Source organism: Homo sapiens, chromosome 2, assembly GCF_000001405.40.
Source record: "Homo sapiens chromosome 2, GRCh38.p14 Primary Assembly".
Taxonomy (NCBI): domain Eukaryota; kingdom Metazoa; phylum Chordata; class Mammalia; order Primates; family Hominidae; genus Homo; species Homo sapiens.
In genome coordinates, this window is record NC_000002.12 from 138,365,999 (window position 1) to 138,388,194 (window position 22,196).

Genomic DNA, 22,196 nt, shown 5'->3' on the forward strand with positions numbered 1-22,196 from the left:
TGTAAGAAGTTGATTCCATATTTCATCATCTCTAGGAGGTCATCAGTGCATTATAATTTTTTTAAATACACAAATGAAAAAAGGGGGAAAATGCCATAAACTATTATGTAATCTTTTCTTGTCACTTCAAAGTTTTCTTCTACACGTGTTGAAAGAGTTCTTGTATCAAAGCAGTCTCTCCTTGCTTTGCAATTTTTCTCATCTATCTCAAGGGAGTTGCAATTTCTCCTGCCTTTGGTTCTATGGCTTGTTGTGATAAGCAATCCTTCTGCTGCGCCTCAGTAAAAAACATGTAACCCAATTTCAGCTACTTGTGGGTATGTTTCTTTCTTGGATGTCATAAAACACTTGTTTTTTTCTTTGCAAGACAATCTGGCATAATGATCATTTTTCTAATGATGAATATTTGCTTCGCGAATATCAAATCTAAACACCACTCCTCTGTTTTTGCATATACATTAACTTTTTGTCTTAAACCCAAGTATATTGTTGAATTTATCTGAAGCCAATTTAAATGGCAAACTAATTCAGCATGTGCAGTAATGCAAATGCTCATAACTCAGGTGAGATAACCCTGACCAGTGATGACCAAGTGCATGTGTGTGATCAGGCAAAGCCAACTACATTTCCACTATCACATGTGCAACAGTGACCATAAATCACCACTGACTGTATGAGATATGAAAATGTAAAATATTGTGTTCCTTGGAATCTGTGCAATCCGGTGTATTCAAAACATTATACAATTGTTAAGAAGCTGAGTCAGAAATGTTGTACAAGAAATCTGACACTCGATTGCACTCTCTAAATTGCTACATTTACACTAGTTTTAGGAAAATAAAGAAAATAGATCCATTCCCTTACCTTTAACAGTCCCTTATCTATAACTTTGCTATAAAGTTGGAACTCAATATAACTTCCACTTCAGGTCTGTGGATTTAACTTCAAACCTTTGCTGCTGCTGCTGCTTCTTGTGCTTTTATTAAATAATGACACCAGTCTTGGTACTCTGCATAAAGGGGTAATGGTTTCAGGCTGGAGAGTTTATGATCTAAATTAGACAGGATAAAACCAGGAAAAGAGATGACAAGAGATTGTGAGGAGCTGGTATTGGTTTCAATTTGTTTCATTTTCACAGTGTCAATTTTCTTAATGCTTCCTCAATTCACACTTCCCATCTCTTTTTCTCCCAATAATTTCTGAGATGCGTCAAGAAGTTAGTATGTTCCCTTTGTTACAAGTGAAGAAATCTGAGAAGTCTACCCATATTCACACAGCTAGTAAGAGGAAGAGATATATAGTTCTAGCCCTCAGATTATCCATGTATTCAGGACCATGTTCAAGAAAATTATAATCTTGTTATATTTAATAAATGGATGAATACAATGTATCTGATCACACAAAAAGTCTCCTGCGAGATAAGAATTTGACCACACACCAGATCCCAAACATTTACCTTGAATTTAGTGAAAATACAGCAAGATGGGATGGTTTGGAGCATGTGCTCTGGAGTCAGCCTGTCTTGGTCCATATGCTGGCTCTGCCACTAACCAGCTTCACAAGTTTGGTCAAGTTATTTAACATCTCTACACCTCTGTTTTATTATCTATAAACTGGAGATAATAATAGCAACACATAAGAGAAAATAAAAGGCTAAAATTATATCAATAAGATTGTGTATAGAGTTGAAAGAACGGTCTTTAAAATAGACAAATTCTGAGAAATATGTTATTAAGAAAAAAGAGGAAAATACAAAATAGAAACTTAGAAATGATGAGTAAAGAAATTTTGAGGAAAAGAGAAGGTGCTCTTTATTGTGATTTTAAACTTGAATTGACTACCAGTTCACCTTCACTTTTTATATAAGTTATTATTCACTTAAATATATCTCTAATCTTTCTAGTGGGCCCTCAAAGGGTTATCACTTCCCAGACACCTTCTTTTGCTCTCTGAGTAATTCTTCTGTTTAAATTTCCAGAAACATATTCACATATCATTTCCATAGTCCCAGTACTATTTGTTTATGTGCCTCAGCAAGTACATCTGATAAATGCACGTTTTCTTTCCTGAACCCGGCTGACTTCTTGGTATTTGTGAAAACACTCGAGAGACATACTGAGCAAATGAATGCCCTTTGAATTTCTAGTCTTTTAGTAATGGAGATAGTTACCACCCCTTTTCAGGACTTTTAAAAAGCATGCCCACATGAAAGTAGCTTATGGAAAAGTAATATCTCATTTGTGATGGTGTTAGAGTGCTCCAAAAGGGTAATGGTGAAGAATAATTGCACAGCCGAGGTGAAGTATGCTAATTCAGCAAGAAGTTTGTTTTTCCAATAGGAAAATCTAGGCTTATTACATATCACAATGTCATATAAGTACAGCTACTGCACAATACACTCTTCACAGTAATGCAAGGTGGAAGGGTAGTGAATAATCTCAAGCATTAGGAAATAATAATGCTTTCATTTGTGGCGGACCATGATAGCGCTAGCTTGTCGTTCATATTTCCTTTCTTTGAATAATAGAACCTCTTTTCTACTCCCCATGATTCAAGGGGCTTTCAGTCAAGTATCCCCTCCCACCAGCCACCATATACACAATCACAGGAGCAGCAAGAACATGACCCAAGATCAGAGGGCCCCTTCCTGCAGTCTGCAGTGGTTCAGGAATAGGCACAGGACCCAGGTCAGGCCAATCGGAGTCCTTGGGAAATTTCGACTCGAGCTAAAAGAAAGATTCTATTTTCTTTATGTTATGGTGTTAGAAGGATACAAGCTGAAGCTCTTTGTGGCCATATTAAGGTTTTGAGAGGAAAGCTATCTGGTGTAGAAGAGACTAAGGTACAAAGAGAAGCAAAGTCAAGCAAGCCTCAGAACATGTGACATTTCCAAAGACACCATTAACCTTCTCTACCTTGCACCCTTGGCATGCTTTTTCCCCTTGAATACCATATGAACAATACTCCCTGGAGTAGTCTTAGAAAAGAGGAAAAAAGCATCCAGGTCATTTTGAATACCTAGTTCCAGCCTTTTATAAGCACGTTTCTACAGCTTGTCCTTCAATCCTATAAAATACCCAGTATCCTGTCCAGTTTTATCAGCCAATTAATTCCACTTGCCTTTTTAGATATTTGAGTTGAACTTCCTTCACTTGCAGCTGAAAGGGCACTGAATAGTGCAAACTTTCTATAACTTTACAAAGTGCTCTCATACACACACAGAGTTATGGTGTCTGTTTTATGGATGAGAAAACAAAGAGGTTAAGAATTTGTCTGTCACTATAGTGGAGCAGAATTTTTTAATAGAAATTTTTTAAATAGAAAGAAAAAGCAGGAAAAAGGTGAGAATTATATCTGGGATTTTTTTCCATGTTAGGTTCAGTGAGTTTTCCTCCAGGGTATATACTATGCCACATCTTTTTGTCTCCAAATTCAGGTCGGATTTAGGAGAACATTCCTTGATCCTCACTAACTCACTGCTGATTCCAGCTAAGTGCTCTTCATTCCTCCTGCCTACGCTCTAGCCTGGAGAGAAGCTTACTATTGAACTGCAATTGTATTTACCAATGCTTTTTAATAGTTAATATTTATTAAACACTTACTATTTCCCAGGCACTGCTCTAAGCACTGAATCTGTATTAACTCATTTAATCCTCAATAAGTATTTGTAAGATAGGCATGACAATTATTTCTACTTAATGCATCAGGAAAAAGAGGCACAGAGGATTTTGTAACTTGCCTAGGTCACAATGCTAGATAAGTGGAATGTGGATTGGAATGGAGGAAATCACACTTCAGAGTCTGTGCCTTTGTCCATATGGTCATCACAGTTTGTTCAGATGGTCTGCCTTAGACTCTTGAATGTATTTTATATCACCTGCATACCTGGGTACCCTTTTTAATTCCCATTCTTATATTTTGGGTATTTCCTATCATATCATTTTTGTAGCCTGAGTGCATACAGGAGCTGATTGCTCCTCCTTTTTTTTCTTCCTTGGCTCAGTCTTCTTCTTTATATGACTAAAAGTAAACTAATGCTCATTGCATATGCCCAGATATTTGCAGCACTTGGTTCCACAAGCTGACAATAGGAGAAGAGTGGGCCAAATCTGAGCTGACTATGTACTGAACTAACATTGCCTAACAGAGACTACCCAGGGCACCCACAAGTAACAAAACTATTTTTAATATTTACTTCTCCTTTCTTCCTGTTGGCCTTCTATAATATGAAGTACCACCCAAGATAAACTATTCTCTTTCTGAAAATTGTGAGGCCAGTTATCTGCTTTTGCTCACTGTATTGGGTAAGTTGCACTATATATGAAAATAGTTCAAATATCAAAAATAAATTTTTTTATTATTATTATAAGTTTTAGGGTACATGTGCACAACGTGCAGGTTTGTTACATATGTATACATGTGCCATGTTGGTGTGCTGCACCCATTAACTCGTCATTTAGCATTAGGTATATCTCCAAATGCTATCCCTCTCCCCTCCCCCCACCCCACAACAGTCCCCAGTGTGTGATGTTCCCCTTCCTGTGTCCATATGTTCTCATTGTTCAATTCCCACCTATGAGTGAGAACATGCAGTGTTTAGTTTTTTGTCCTTGTGATAGTTTGCTGAGAAAGATGGTTTCCAGCTTCATCCATGTCCCTACAAAGGACATGAACTCATCCTTTTTTATGGCTGCATAGTATTCCATGGTATATATGTGCCACATTTTCTTAATCCAGTCTATCATTGTTGGACATTTGGGTTGGTTCTAAGTCTTTGCTATTGTGAATAGTGCCGCAATAAACATACGTGTGCATGTGTCTTTATAGCAGCATGATTTATAATCCTTTGGGTATATACCCAGTAATGGGATGGCTGGGTCAAATGGTATTTCTAGTTCTAGATCCCTGAGGAATTGCCACACTGACTTCCACAATGGTTGAACTAGTTTACAGTCCCACCAACAGTGTATAAGTGTTAGACCTAAAACCATAAAAACCCTAGAAGAAAACCTAGGCAATACCATTCAGGACATAGGCATGGGCAAGGACTTCATGTCTAAAACACCAAAAGCAATGGCAACAAAAGCCAAAATTGACAAATGGGATCTAATTAAACTATAAATTCTTAAATACTCCTTCCTCCAAGAGTTTAATTTTCCATCACTTAAATAAACCTAGTGACTCACTTATTAACACACTTCTAAGAAACAGACTCTATGGAAAAGAAAAAATAGTAAACTTACATGAAGAAACCTGGAAGTTACCATCTCACCCACGTGACCAACGTTAATATCACCAGTAATTAAAAATACTGATATCATGTATCCCCTCAGAGGATGCAATAAAGGACATATTACCCATGTGGCATTTTCCTCCCAAAATCTACACCCTTAGTCTAAATATGAGAAAGCTCCAGACAGATCCAAACTGAGGACCATTCTACAAACACCTGACCAGTATTCTGCAAAAATATCAAGGTCTTGAAAAACAAGAAAAGACTGAGGAACTACCACAGATTAAGAAGACAATGGAGACACAATGACTAATTACAATGTAGTATATTGGATTGAATCCTTGAACAACAACAAAAATTACATTAGTAGAAAAACAGGAAATTTGAAGTAAACAATAATTTAGATAATATTATTGACAAATGTTAATTTCTTAATGTCCATGTTACTATGTGTATGTAATATGTTAACTTTAGGGGAAGCAAGATGAAATATATATGGGAAATCTTCATACAATCTTTGCAACTCTTTTGTAAACTTAAAATTATTTCAAAATTAAAAGTTAAAAAATCTCAACATAGGGTTAAGTATGTGCCATAAGGAAAACATGAGATGTTCTGGCAGAAGACTTTACTTGAGGAATTTCCTGGGAGATGGTAATATCTGAGATGGTCAAGGTTTTGGAGATGGGAGTGCAGAAAGAGCATTTCTTCAGCATTTTCATTCTACTGACAAACACATCTCTTTTCTCTCCCATCTGTTCTGTCCTCCTTCTTGCTTTCTTCAGTCTCCTTCCCAGTTATGTTGCAGATCAGAGAATTCTGTCTTCCTTGTACTGAGTTTATGCCACCAGGTTAAAAAATCACTAAAGATTTCTGGGAAGAGGTAAACCTCAAAAGAATGTACATATCTGCATCACTGACTTCTCAGACCACTTTACATTACGAAGATGAAATTTTGACAACAGACTTACTGTGATAACTCTGAAGGTCATTGGCTATGATATTATTTCTGATAATGTACATATATGTGGCAATGCCATTTCTTTTTAGGTAGGAGACAAAAATCTCTCTGGTGAGATTTTTTTTCAAATAATGAAAGTTTTATATCTTGAACATGTATTCCTGGAAAACTAAGGATCTACTTTTGGATGTAAATTCTCAAGAGAGCATGGAGGATTGACTTCACCAAAAAAAAGTAACTTTTTAAATCCAGTGTTCCCACTCAATGTTCATTTATTATTCATTTAATTGTTCATTCAACATTCTTCGAGAACTTGTTGTATGACAGATCAGGAGATACAAATGTGATTATCTTGACCATCCCTGAAGCTGTTAGTCCAGTGAAGTTCAAAGATATAGTTCAGAATCCAGATAATTTACTGATCTACCTGTCTTCTATAATGGCCCATTAAAAGGATTATTGTAAATTATCTTATGTGATTGTACAATCCATGCCAATTTTTAAAATATTTAATTGTTGGAAGTAGAATGCAGAAGTGATAGGGTCAAAGGCTATGTCTTATCTTGAGTAAAACTGAAATCACCATATCTAACCTAAAACCAGAACAGATGTATTTTGTTCTATTCCCAAATCAAATTTTAATAACCTCAGATGCTTCATTTGTGTTTGATACATTTTGAGTTCTTGTCCATCCCTGGTAAGAGTAATATGGTTGTTGAAAGATCTAGGCACCTATTTATGGCTCTAAAAGGCATCATAATATCCATTTACTTTACTTTTTTAATATCCTAAAGTTTATCTACAAAGTTGAATGAATTCAAAGTTAATTTGGATAACTTTTTTTCTGATCCAAAATTTAGTTCTGAATATTAGGTGAGTTGCCTAATCTGACAAATTCAAAGAAATTTTGAGCACAGATATACATGACATATTATCCTAGACATTCTATCAGACCCACTAGTAAAATTTCTTGGATCATTTCTCCTTAATATATGAAATCTTCTGAATAGTATAACCCTGTACTTCCTTCAACTAAGACTTGTCTAATGATCTCATCAAGGAAACTCTTGCCTAGACTCTTGCTTTATATTTAGATCTATTTCCACTGGCAAACCTTCTTGATTTTTCAAACATGGGTACTTAATAGTTTTAAATTATTTTCCACTAACTGAAAAAAAATAACGTTTAAAAGAGATTATTGTGTATTACTAAAGAAATATGTTCATTTTCTAAGAATCTATTTGCAAGCAGATATTTTTTATTTTAAAAAGACAAATTGTACACACCAGATACAGTGACTATAAAGCTCACTGATTTGTAATTAGTGACCTACATATGCAATTTACCATCTCTGAGACCTTAAACCTGTCCTAGGTGTAATTAAATGAGTAATGTATGTAGAAGCACCATAACTTTCAAGCGTCATATAAAATGATAATTTTGTATTATTAATACACATATTATTAGCATTCATTCATTCAACAAACATTTTATTTAGAACTCTTATTTAGAAACTAGGCATTATTTTCTTCAAGTGGCTTTTCCTAACCTTTTCCTGCCTACCTCCCCAGACTAACTCTGGTTCATCTTTATAATGCCATAATTTAGCTCATGATCTGAAACATAGCAAGAACTCAAAAAAAATTTATTAAATAATTTCAGGCATTCTTAGCCTTCTACTCTCTTCTACTTCTGACAGTATTTTCTAAATTAGGTTGTGTTAAAGTTACCTGATAACTCCCAGTTTCATTCCATATGACCTGTAGTCTTGAGCATTTTCATTTTGAATCAGTTTAAACTTGGCAGCATTATTAAGGTAATTAATGCGCATTCATACTTTGAGTTTTATATCTTCATTTAAACTCCATCTCTTTTTAAAAATTTAATTATGAAAGGCCCACCATATGTTTAAAAGCCATTATGATTGTTTAGATAGGGAGAGACTGGTGCTCCCTCTGCTGGCTCTGAAGAGAAAAAAGATAACTGGAAAACCATTGCAGAATTAGACTGACATTCTGGCCAAGGCTTGCCACCCAAAGGATGATTTTAGAACTCTGAGATGCTTTACTGAATTGACTATATAACCTGAACTACACTAAAATACCACACTAACACCTATGCTTGTCAGACATGAAAGAAATTATAGAAAGTGGTATCTTAAATTCAAGGTTAGAAAAGCTTTTTATTGAAAATAAATCTATATTCTAAAAGCCCTGATTTGATTATTATACAATTTATGTATGTAACAAAATTGTACTTGTACCCTAAACATTTCAATAAATAAAAAATAAATAAACCAAGAAGAATAAAACAGTAAAAAGCATAAAATAAAACTTGACAGCTGGTATTAAAATAATAGGTGTATAAAATAACAATGATAATTTTTTCTAGGTGTGAGTAGTTGTTAACTTTGCAACTCCAACATATTATGTGTGTAGAGTATTTTACAGTTGTGACATAGATTAATGAGTATTATGCCAATTGATCCACAAAAATAAATGCTTACAGTTAATAGGCCAATAATATTTCACCGTTGTTCCCTCCATTTGAAAGAGAGGAATGTCACCAAGGATGTATAGCTCTTCTACAGGACCAGCAAAATAATCCCATGACCACTTCAGATATTAATGATAGCTAAACTCTAATGAATGCTTACTATGGCTAGACACTGTAACAAGGAGTTTATAAGCAATGCCTTCTTTAATTCTCGTAACAGCCCTATAAAGGAGGCATGATTATCATTCCCATTTTATAGATAAGGAAATTAAGCCACAGTCACTTTCCAGCCCAAAATTCAGGATGACACCCCAATATCCAAGGTAAATCATGTGAAAACTCACAGAAGCCAACTCAAACACAGGTGATAAGTTGCATGGAAATCGCACACAATGTGGAGTACCATGAAATATTGACATACCGAAGTCTATTTTATCGACTAGAAACAAAATTTTTAGTGGTGAATATTACAAAAAATATATATATATATATATATGAGTACCAACCAAGGTATATTTGTATTGCATATGTTTAAATATAAAAGTAATATATACATAGACTCTAGATTTGAAGGAGGATCTTAGGTCCCAGAATGTCTTCAGCTCTAATAAACATGGACACCTTATGCCTTGCAAAATTATTATTCACTTATTAAATTTAACAAAAGCTAAAAATTCTTCAGATTATGTTTCAACTCTTTTCAAATCAGTCCTGGAAGTCTCCCCATCTCCTTTTACACGATAAAAATTGGCATGAATTAAAATCTTTTGAACCCTCCCCTAACCATTGGGTACAAGCTTTGTATTTAGGCTCAACATGTTTTCTCTTTAGGTCTTCAAACAGACTTTGCTGAAATCTTGGCTTTTCAAATGACTTGAAATATCATGAGCCATGACAGTAAAAATTTACTTGGTAACAGAAACAACATGAGACTGAAATCAAAGACCTCTTACTGATCTTAATTTTGGGCCACATCATCCACTTTGCTTTGTAGGATTTATCCACAAACTCCTGAGTTTCTGTAGGAAATGCTAAATTTCTTTAACATCTCTAAAATGATACAGATCTCCACATTCTCAGAATACACAGAAATTTTCAGAAAAGGATATTTTACAAAGTTAAAACTATCTACAATGAACCCAATTACCTTATGAGGTGGTGAAAGGGCTTCATTAGCTGTCCAGATTGCCATTTTTGTGCTCACTGCTTATCTAGCTGCATACACCGAGTAAACAATCAGCAGCAGTTACCAAACTATTAAAATAATAGCAAATTATGAGGCAAAAACTTCACATTCAGAAAATTCCACTCATAAACTTAATATTTTCTGAGCTTTTGAGAAGATACCAACGTGGTTAAATTTTTTAGCAATACCCCAGTATTCTAGGGGAGGCTCATTTGAGAACCACGTCTTATGGGATTCAGTCTTTGATCCTCCACCATCATGTTTCCTTCCATTGTTTCCCCAAAATAGAATCCACAGGAATTGTCATCACAAAAAAAAAAAAATGCCATGTTGAATTGCTTTTAATTTTATTTTATATTTGAAGGAAATTGAATTAAATCAAGCACCAGTGGATTGGCTCAGAGAGGGCAAAGCATGGGAGAAAAAGGCACTGGTTGCCATACAGTTGGCTGAGAAGGAACCAGCTGAACCTTAAAGGATTGGTGGAGGTTGAGTGTGGCCTGCTGTGACAGTGTAGAATCCCTGGCAGCCCCAGACATGGGAGGAGCTGCTGCTTACCCCCAGGCTCATCTCCAGGCACCTCCATGAGGTACTCATAAAAAAGATGGGGGCACAGTGGGTAACTGGGGAGAGTCCCTCTTAGATGATACAGGCCAGGAGAAGGGGAAGAGCAGCCACTATGGGGAAAGCATGAACCCCAGCCACCCTGCCCAGATCATCCTCTCAGAAAGAACAAAAGCCTTGAGCCTCTGTAACAGAGGCAGAAAACCTTGTCACTCCCAGGCACAGGTTAAAAACCTATTGTTGATGACGGAATAAAAAAGAAAAATTATCTATCCCTGGAGGAGGGCCAGGAAACAGTCTTGGGCCCAGCCTCAGGATCTTATATTCATGCCATTAGAAGTGAGCTGTCACCACTGGGGAAGGCCAAGAAACTCTCTCCTATACCAGGACATCAGAGAATGCCCTCCTTCCCCTTCTGCTACCACCCCACAACCATACCACCAACATACTATTATCATACAATACAGCAATTTCATTCCTATGTATTTACCCAAGTTAAAGGGCTAAGTGCCCACAAAACATGTACACAAATGTTTATAGCAGCATTATTTATAATTGCTAAAAAGAACCTAAATGGCAACAACCTAAACTTCCATAAACTGGTGAATGGATGACAAACTGTGTTTTGGCCATTTGGTGGAATACTATTCACCAGTAAAAAGAAATGAACTATTGTTTCACGCATTAACGTGGAGGAATCTCAAGTGCTTTATGTTAAGCGAAAGAAGGCAGATACTAAAGATGATATGATATATGCTTCTCTTCTTAAAATATTCTAGAAAGGCAAAACTATAATGACAAAGACTTCAATGGTTGCCTGGAGGTGGAAGAGAAGGAAATTGACTACAAAGAGGCACAAAATAACTTTTGGAGGGGATGTGAATGTTTTATATTTTAATTCTAGCAGTGGTTACATGCCTATATACACTTTTCAAGTCCATAAACAAGGTGAATTTTATTTTATTTATTTATTCTGAGACAAGGTTTCACTCTGTTGTCCAGGCTGGAGTTCAGTGCCATGATCATGGTTCACTGCAGCTTGACCTCCTGGGCTTAAGCTATCTTCCCACCTCAGCCACCTAAGTATCTAGGACTACAGGCACACATCACCATGCCTGGCTAAGTTTTTAAATTTTTTTTTGTTGTTTTTTTTTTGTAGAGATGAGTTCTCACTATGTTGCCCAGGCTGGTCTCAAATTCCTAGGCCCCAGCACTCCTCCTGCTTTGGCCTCCCAAAGTGCTGGAATCAGGCATGAGCCACCATGCCTGGCCTGATTTTATTATATTTAAACTTTCTCTCAATAAACCTGACTAAAATTATCAAGAGATATAGAACTAGCCTCATTTCTGTCATAGTCTGAGTGATCTTAAAAAAACCTTAGTTCACTTCAACAAGATTTTTTTTAATTATTGTTTTACTTTACGTTATGGGATACATGTACAGAATGTGCAGGTTTGTTATGTAGGTATGTATGTGCCATGGTGGTTTGCTGTACCTAGCAACCTGTCGTCTAGGTTTTAAGCCCCGCATGCATTAGGTATTTGTCCTAATGCTCTCCCTCCCCTTAACCCCCACCCCTCAACAGGCCCTGATGTGTGATTTTCCCCTAACTGTGTCCATGTGTTCGCATTGTTCAACTCCCACTTATGAGTGAGAACATGTGGTGTTTGGTTTTCTGTTCCTGTGTTAGTTTGCTGAGAATGATGATTTCATGAAGTACCTACTATGTGCCATGCCAGGTTATGTCAAAGAGATAAGCTAGCTGTGTCTCTCTAGGAACACAGAGTAACAAAATACTTCTTAAAATATTGTCAGCAATTTACAGATTAAACATGAAATCCTATGCAAAATAAAAATATTTAGCACTATATGGTAATGAATTACATCATTCGAGAACCTGTGCGCTGTAACTCAAAAGGATTTCAGAGGAAAATTTATAACCTAAAAGGCATTTATTGAAAAACAATAAAGATTGAAAATATATGTAGGAAATGCTTAAGAAGCAAAATGAAAACAAACAAACAAACAAAAAACCCTCAAATTAATAAAAGGAAAGATATGAGCAAAACAAAAGAAACTATGCATTAAATTAAACTTAATGAATTGTTTATAGATTCCTTTATGCACAAATATCTCAGTCTTCAGTACATAATATATACTGTTAATCACCAACAACTTATAGTATTCATCTTTTCCTAAACTAATTTGACCACTAAACCATGTGTGTGTGTGTGTGTGAGAGTAAAACGCCTGCCTTATATCTAACTGATTCATAGACAAAAATTCAGAAAACATTGGTCTAATGGCTTAATTAAATCATGTAACTTGTCTGAGCTCAAATTTACCACTCTAGAAAAAAACTGAAATGTAAAAGTCTCTCATTTCTATTTCTCAAAATCTAATTGGTTGTACAGAGGAGAGAAGACAGTAAAACCGATATAAGAGATCCACAGATAAAGTTACATAAAGTGGCAAGGACATCAGCAGGATAGTGGGCTAGGACTCTCCAGTGCTCATCTCCCTGCAGAAACATCAACTCATTCAGCTATGCATGCACAAAGATACTTTCACAAGAGATAAGAAAACCAGGTAAAAGATTACAACGCCTGGGTGTAGCACAGAAACAAGAATAGACATATTGAAGAGGGTAGAAAGGACAGTTTTACATTCCTATGTCATCCCTTTCCCAGTCCTGGGCAGCAAAGCATGGAGAGCTATTCTCCAAGTGGGGAAAGGAGAGAGAATTGACTCCATATTTTGCTTCAGACCCAAAACCAGGACTGCCCCAGTAAAATCCAGCACCAGGTAGGCCTCCATGGCCCCAGACCCCAGGGTAGTAGCTGAAGATGGAGGTTCTAGGCCCACCCTGGCACCCTGGCACCAGCCCCAAGGCCCAAGCACGCCAGGTAGATTCAGTCTCTGGGCTGCCCCACTACCAGCCCAAGCTCAGTAGTCCCAGGCTCCAGACTGCCCTCAGCACCAGGCCAATCTAGGTGACCCTAGGTCCCAGACCACCCCCAGCACTGAGCTTGCCCCCATGGGCACAGGGTTCAGGCACCTGCCCTGACATGAGGTTGCCCCCTACATTCCTAATAATCAGGCCAGGACCCAAGGATGAAGCCTCCAGGCCATTCCTTACAGCCCCAAGATTCAGGCTGGTACTGGCAGACTGAGCCTCCAAACCCACCCAAGCATCAGGCAGAAACCTATAGCTCGAAGTGTCAGGCCTGCTCAGCAGACTTAGTTTCTAGGCCTTCCCTAACAGCAGGTTAACCCCAGCAGCCCCAGGCTCTAGGCTGACCCTAGCACCAAACAGCCCCAGATAGGCGGGCACACCCAGGCTTCAAACCCATCCCAATGCCAGGACAATCCCACAGAATCAGGTTCCAGGAGCACCCCAAGACCAGGCCAACCCCAGGTGGCCCAGGCTCTGGATTTCCTCTGGCACTGAGCTGGCCCCTATAGCAACCCTAGATTTCAGGCTTATTCAAGCACCAGGCTGGCCCCCACATCCCTGGTAATCAAGCTGGTACACACGGACTCAGCTTCCAGGGTAGACCCTGTAAATACAGAATTCAAGCCCACCAAGTACCAAACTAGCCCCTGTATTCCCAGGTTTCAGACCTGCTCCAGCTCCAGATCACAAAAGCTATGCAAAGTAGATATGCAGGTCACAAAAGTGATATACAAAAGATAAAAAGTAAGAAACCAAAGGACAACACTAGAGAAAATTACTTAATCACAAAGGAAGACAGTAAAAGAGAAAGGAACAAATTATCTACAAAACAATGAGAAAACAGTTAACAAAATGGGAGTAGTTAATTTCTGACTTAACAATAATTACCTCAAAAGTAAATAGATTAAGTCCTCTAATCAAAAGACATACAGGAGTTGAATAGATTACCAAAAAAGACTCAGTTACATGCTGCCTACAAGAGACTTACTTTGCCTGTAAGAAAGCACATAAACTGAAAGTGATAAGATGGAAAAATATATTCCTATATTCCATGCAAATAAAAATGAAAGAAAGCAGGAATAGCTATACTTAGATAAAATAGACTTTAAAAAAACCATAAAATGGGACAAAGGTAGTTATTATATAATGATAAAGGGGTTTGTTTATCAAGAAGATAAAACAATTATAAATATATATGCACCCAACATCAGAGCACTTAACTATATAAAGCAAATATTAATAGATACAGAAGGAGAGATAGATTGTCACACAATAATATTAGAGGACTTTAATACCTCACTTTCAGCAGTGAACATACCATCTAGACAGAAAATCAATAGGAAAACATTAGACATAAACTACACATTGGATGAAATGGACAAAACAGATGTATACAGAATATTTCATCCAAAAGCAGCAGAATACACATTCTTCTCAAGCACACAGAGAACATTCTCCAGGAAGGGCGATATATTAGGCCACATAATAAGTCTTAGAAAATATAAGCAGATTGAAATTATATTGAGTGTCTTATCTGATCACAATTTTCTAAATCTAGAAATAAATAACAAGAGAAATTTCAGAAAATTCATAAACATTTGAAACTTAGAAAACATGCCCCTGAACAACCAATGGATCAACAAAGAAATTTAAATAATATCTTGAAATAAATAAAAATGAACAATATCAAAATTTATTGAATGTAGCAAAAGCAGTTCTAAGAGGAAAGATTATAGCAACAAATGACTACATCTAAAAATAAGAAAGACTTCCAAATAAACAACCTAGTGTTACACCTCAAGGAAATAGAAAAGGAAGAACAAAGCCCAAAGTTAGTAGAAGAAAGAGAACAAGAAAAGTCAAAACACAAATAAGTTTAATAGAAACTAAAAAGAAAAAAAAAATAGAAAAGAGCAACTCTTACAAGTTGGTTTTTTGAAAAGATAAAATCAATAAGTTGTAAGATAGATTACGAAAAAAGAGGGAAGGCTCAAATAAAAAAATAGAAATGAAAGAGTACATGAACAACTAATGTCAAAGAAATTTAAAGGATTATAAAAGATTAATATGTACAATTATGTACCAATAAATTGGATAACCTAGAAGAAATGCAAAAATTCCTTAACCTATACAGCATGCCAAGACTGAATTATGAAGAATGGAAAATATGAACAGACAATATGAGTAAGAAGATTGACTCAGTAATAAAAAGTCTCCTATCAAAGAAAATCTCAGGACCTAATGACTTCACTGTCAAATTCTACCAAATATTCAGAGTAAATACCAATCTTTCTCAAATGCTTCCAAAAAAATTGAAGAGGGAGAACTTCCAAACTAATTTTACAAGGCCAGCATTACCCTGATGTCAAAGCCAGACACAGACACTACAAGAAAAGAAACTTACAGGCCAATATCACTAACGAACGTAGATGCAAAAATTCTCAACAAAATACTAGAAAATAAAATTTAACCACACATTAAAAGAATAATTCACATGATTAAGTGGTATTTGTCCCAGGTTGCAAGCATAGTTCTATATATGCAAATCTATAAATGTGCTCCAAAACTATCCATAGTAATTTACAAATTCATTGCAATCCCTATCAAAATTCCAATGATATTTTCCACAGAAATAAAACAAATCCTAAAATTCACATGGAAACCAACGACCCTAAAGAGCCAAAGCAACCTTAAGCAAAGAGAAAAAGGCTGAAAGCCTCACACTACCTGACTTCAAAATATACTGTCAAGTTTTAGTAATCAAAATAGTATCATACAAATACTAACAGAATAGAGATCCCAAAAATAAATCCACACACTTAAAGTTAATTATATTTGACAAAGGTGCCAATAACACACATAGGGAGAGGACAGTCTCTTAATAGTGTTAGAAAAACTGGATATTTTCATGCAGAAGAATAAAATTAGACCCTTATCTTGGAACATATACAAAAATGAACTTAAAATGAATTGAAGACTTAAATGTAATACCTGAAACTGTAAAAGTATTCAAAGAAAACATAGGGGCAAGTTCCATAACATCAGTCTGGGCAATTACTTTTTGGTATGAACCTGAAAGCACATGCCACAAAAGCAAAAATAGACACATGAGATTACATCAAACTAAAAAGCTTCTGCACAGCCAAGGAGACAGTCAGTAGAGTGAAGAGTCAATCTGTGGAGTGGGAGAAAACATTTGCAAACCATACATCTGATGAAGGGTTAATATCCAAAATACATAAGGAACTCACACAACTTAGTAGTAAGAAAATAACCTGATTTAAAAATGGGCAAAGGCTATGAATAGACATTTCTATTCACAGAAAGAAAATGTACAAACGGCCAACAGCTATATGAAATAATGCTCAATATCACTAGTCATCAGAGAAATGCAAATTAAAGTCACAATGAAATATGACCTCATACCTGTTAGAATGGCTACTACCAAAAGGTGAAAAATAACAAGTGTTGGTGAGGATGTGAATAAAAGGGAACACTTATACACTGTGGGTAGGAATGTAAATTAGAACAGCCATTATGGAAAACAGTATGGAAGCTTTTCAAAAGACTAAAGAGAGAACTACCATATGATCTAGCAATCTCATTTCCAGGCATATACACAAAGGAATTGAAATCAGTATGTTGAAGAGATATCTGTCTTCCCATGTTCATTGTAGCATTAGTCACAATAGCCAAGAAATGGAACCAAGCTCTGCACTAGGAAATAAAAAAATCAACCTAAGTGTCCATCAGTGGATAAATGAGTAAAGGCAAAGGAAATGTGTGTGTATATTATATATATGTATATACATTTACTATATATATACTATTATTATATATAATATATATTATATATTATATATAGTATAATATATAATTATAAATATATAGTATAAATATACTATACTATACTATACTGTGTATACTAGTATACATAGTATACTATACTATACTATATAGTATAGTATAAATATATAGCATAATATATAATTATACATAAATTATATATATAATAAGTGTATATATAGTACATTATATATAGTAAATGTGTGTGTATATATGTGTATATATGTATATAATGTGTATATGTACATATATGTATATATGCATATTTTTTCTCTTTTATATATATATATACATATATGTGTGTGTATATATATATATACACACACACACATTTCCTTTTCCTTTACCCATTTATCCACTGATGGACACTTAGGTAGATTTTTTTTTTTCCTAGTGCAGAGCTTGGTTCCATTTCTTGGCTATTGTGACTAATGCTACAATAGTGTATATATAGTATATATATAGTAAATATATATATACTATATTATATATGCTATATATACTATACACTATATATACTATATACTATATATACACTACATATACTATATATACACTATATGTACTATATACTATATATACACTATATATACTATATACTATATATACACTATATATACTATATACTATATATACTATATACTATATATACACTATATATACTATATATACTATATACTACATATACACTGTATATACTATATATACACTATATATACTATATGTATATACACTATATATATACTATATACACACACACACACACACACACACACACACACACACACACACACACACAATGGAATACCATTCAGCCATAAGAAGGAATGAGATCATGTCATTTGCAGCCAGGTGGATAAACCTGGAGGAAATTATGCTAAGTGAAATAACCCAGGAAAAGAAAGACAAATACTGCGTGATCTCACTTATATGTGGCATCTTAGAAAGTCAAGCTCATAGAATAAAGAGTAAAATAGTGGTTACCAGGGGGTGAAGGTGGGGAGGTAGGGAGATGGGGAGATGTTAGCCAGAGGATCAAAATTTTATTAGATAGGAGGAATTAGTTCAGGAGATATATTATACAAACTGGCCTCTACAGTTAATAAGAATGTATTTTATGGCAAAGAGTAGATTTTTAAGTGTTCTCACCACAAAATATGTGAAGTAATGCATGCATTAATTAGCTTAATTTAACCATTCTACAATGTGTGTATGTATATATTTCAAAACAATATGTTGTACATATTAAATATATACAATATTTGTCAATTAAAAATTACATAAAGCAACAGATAAATCATCTTAAATAAAAATTTTAAAAAATAATAGCTGCATTATATGGAAACATTCCACAAATGAAAAGGAAAAACTGATCCACTAGAAAAGTGAGAAAAAGGAAATAATTTGGGGATTCACAGGAAATAAGCATCAATTACATTCATATTTTTTTAAAGGAGAAAAAGGCAATGCTGGTAGACTCCAGTTCACTCAAATCAGAAATATTTATCAAGCACCTAAGAACAAGTATATGTCAAATGGGCTAAATTTGGTCTGTTTCCCTAATCACAACTTTACCAACTTGTGAATCAAGTTCATTGTTACAGTCCCTCAACAATAAGAGTCAAGCTACCATAATTGTTTATTATTTTAAACTCATTTTTTCTCATACTGTTGTCAGTAAGATACCAGGTGAATTGAGCAGTGTCATTTTAACTAAACTAGTTCCACATATTTAGGAAATTAACCTAAAAATCAATTTTTAACCCAACACTAATTGAAACATTTAATAGATGCTGCTGCCTCTAAGAAAAAAATAATTCATAGTTAGGTAATAAAAGCATATTTAATGTGACTTTGACATGTGCTAAAAAAAGAAAAAATAGAGAAACTATTCACTCTCTAATGAAAATGGCTTCATAAAACTAAAAAGATTTGGTAATACTGAGCAACAGTCCATGAGAAACTGGTTATTAAGCAGTCAGTGCCTAGTTTGCTAGTTAATGAGGTGAGAAGAAACCAAGAGTGGTTAATAATCCCACAAACTGATCATAATCAAATCATTACAATGTTAATTATGGAAGTAAGAGGATTGTACCATGAAAATAAGAATAAATATAAAAATCACTGCTTTTGTCCTATATGTGTTATAATAAAGCATATTTTTCTAAGGCTAGATGGGGCTCAAAAAGATGACACTTTCTTCTGCAGAGTTGTATTTAAAAAAAAAATCAGGTTGAGTGAGTTTATTGATAGCACCTAAAATATTTCCTTATTTTCCCACCTAAGAAATACGTTTTTGAACAATTTTTGAGATATTTTGTTTCCTAGACATCATATATATTCACAGGGCAAGTCATTAGTAACACAAATTATCCTCCAATCGTGTTGGAAATTTAATTTTCTTTATTGGATTTGTAAGTTGGTTCTTATTCTCTGACTTATATTTTCAAGAGATAAATGAAATGTTTTCGTTCTATAATGTTGATAGAAATACTCTTGTTTGTTCATATGGCCCCTATGGATTTGTCTAATTACACATTTTAATAATAAACTAATCTCAGAACAATTGCCTCATCTGTCAATCTTCAGAGCATTTTTCTTTTGGTGAGCAGACTATGTTACTAAGACTTAACTAAATAAAGATAATATATTTCCACTATGCTCTGAGAAGATAAAAAGCTCCACAAATTTTTAAGTTCAAATTTACTTTTATCTGAACGTAAGTCAATTCATTCTTGTTAGAAAAATGTAAAAAGCCCCAAAAAGTATAGAGACCAAAAAGGATGATTATCATAGTCCCACAAATCAGAGGCAGCTACTATTAATCTATATTTCTTCTCATTCTTTGTATTCACTTCCTTTAAATGGTTAAAATTATAGAAATATTCTAATTTGTTTTCACTATTTTTATTTAAAATGATTTAAGAGTAAGCATTTTCCATACCATCTCTGGCTGCATGGTATTATATGAAAAGCATCAACTATAGTTTATTTCACTATTACATTATTAACAGACTTTAAAAGTATTTCTAAATTTTCACTTTTTTTTTTTCTTTTTTTTGAGACAGGGTTTCGCTCTTGTCACCCAGGTTGGAGTGCAATGGCGCCATCTCGGTGAACTGCAACTTCCACCTTCTGGGTTTAAGCGATTCTCCTGCCTCAGCCTCCTGAGTAGCTGAGATTACAGGCATGCACGACCACACCCAGCTAATTTTTGTATTTTAGTACAGATGGGGTTTCATCATGTTGGCCAGGCTGGTCTTGAACTCCTGATCTCGGGTGATTCACCTGCCTCGACCTCCCAATGTGCTGGGATTACAGGCGTGAACCACCGCACCTGGCCAATTTTCACTATTACATTATGAAAGATATCTTGGGTAAAATAAAATTGTAATAAAGAGCCCACGCAGAATCTGAAACAGACAGATTCAAATCCTCACTCAGCCATTTAGAAGTTTTGTTGAGAAGTGAAAGTAAGGTAAGTAAAATGTGCCATGTGCTAGACAAACAATGAATTAAGGCTATTGTTATAATGAAGCTTTTATAAATTTTATAATATTTTGCTATCATAGATGACCTGAGATTGGATTTCTAAGTTTATCAATATAAGCATTTTTAAGAGTTTTCCTACGTATTGCAAAATTGCCTTTCAAAATGCCATCTACTTTAAACTCTCACCAATATTACATGAGCTGTGCGTGAAGCCTGAGCCTTAGCAACATTGGGCTATTTTCATATTTTCTAATTCAATAGGTGAATATCTTATGTCACTTCGCCTTTTATCTTTTCAAGCTCTAAATAACATTGTATGCTTTTATAATAAATTATCTGTTCATGTCTTTTGCCCATTAACATTATGGAGTCATATCAATATATGTAACTGCTTTAAATGTTAAGATAATAATTTGGCATATATGTAGTTAATTAACTTTTAGTTTTTCTACCTTTAAGTTCTGTTCATAATACCCAAGATATTGAGAATTTTCATATTTTTCTATAGTTGAATCTATTATTATTTTCTTTTATGAATTCTTCCACCCTGATCCAGGAATTAGAAAATAATCACTTCTTATTTCCACCGGGTCTAATTAGGTTTGATATTCTACATTTACCTTTTTAATCCTAATATAATATTTTTTGGCTTATGCTGTTAAATAAAAATACAAATTGAATTTTTCCCCAAGTAGCTAAACAATTGCCCAAATAAGATTTACTGAATAATCTTTCTCTTTCTCATTGTTCCACATCTCCTTTATGATGCATAAAGCTTTAGCACATAATAAAGCTTAATTTTATAAGGCATCAAAATTTATCAAAGATATGATCCATTATACCTGATCAGCTTTTGGAAGCAGATCTCTGATTAAAGATCCTTGCTGCGACCCTCACCCAAATTATCTCACATACCTATTGGGTTCAAGTGGTTTTCAAGACAATAAAGGAAGATGTACAAAGAACACAGAATAACTTTAAAAGAATTCTACATTTTAATTTACGGTCTGATTTTTTTCTTTTACTTTGCCCACATCAAACTTGCATCATTAATGAAATGGAATGAGACAGAAATAGGTAACAGTTGCCTAGCATCTATAGTGTTCCAAGTCCCTTTAGCCCCTCAAACTTCATGATGTAAACATTCTTCTCCTAATTTTGCAATTATAGAAACCCATTTAGTAATCTTAACTAAACTGCCCAATACCACACAGTCAACAAGTAGCTAAAAATGGGATTTAAACCTGGATCACATTGACTAAAAAATTATGTTGGTTGAAAATGGCCTTTAGTTGGAAAGAAAAATACACACACAAACACACACTCAGACAGATACTCTTTTTTCCCATGGTGTATAATATTAATCTTCAGAAATCACTCCAAGGGGCTATTAAATATTTATCCAGTAGCATATACTGCAATTTAGAGTCTTTATACTTTTCAAGAGTAAGTATATATTTG

At 34.7% G+C, this 22,196-nt stretch overlaps 1 annotated feature.

Annotated features, from left to right (window-relative positions):
* Positions 461–755: a silencer, noted in NCBI's record as "tiled region #15192; K562 Repressive non-DNase unmatched - State 24:Quies". NCBI's record gives its function as "represses a minimal TATA promoter and a strong SV40 promoter by Sharpr-MPRA in K562 cells {active_cell/tissue: K562}" and the evidence as "EXISTENCE:reporter gene assay evidence [ECO:0000049][PMID:27701403]".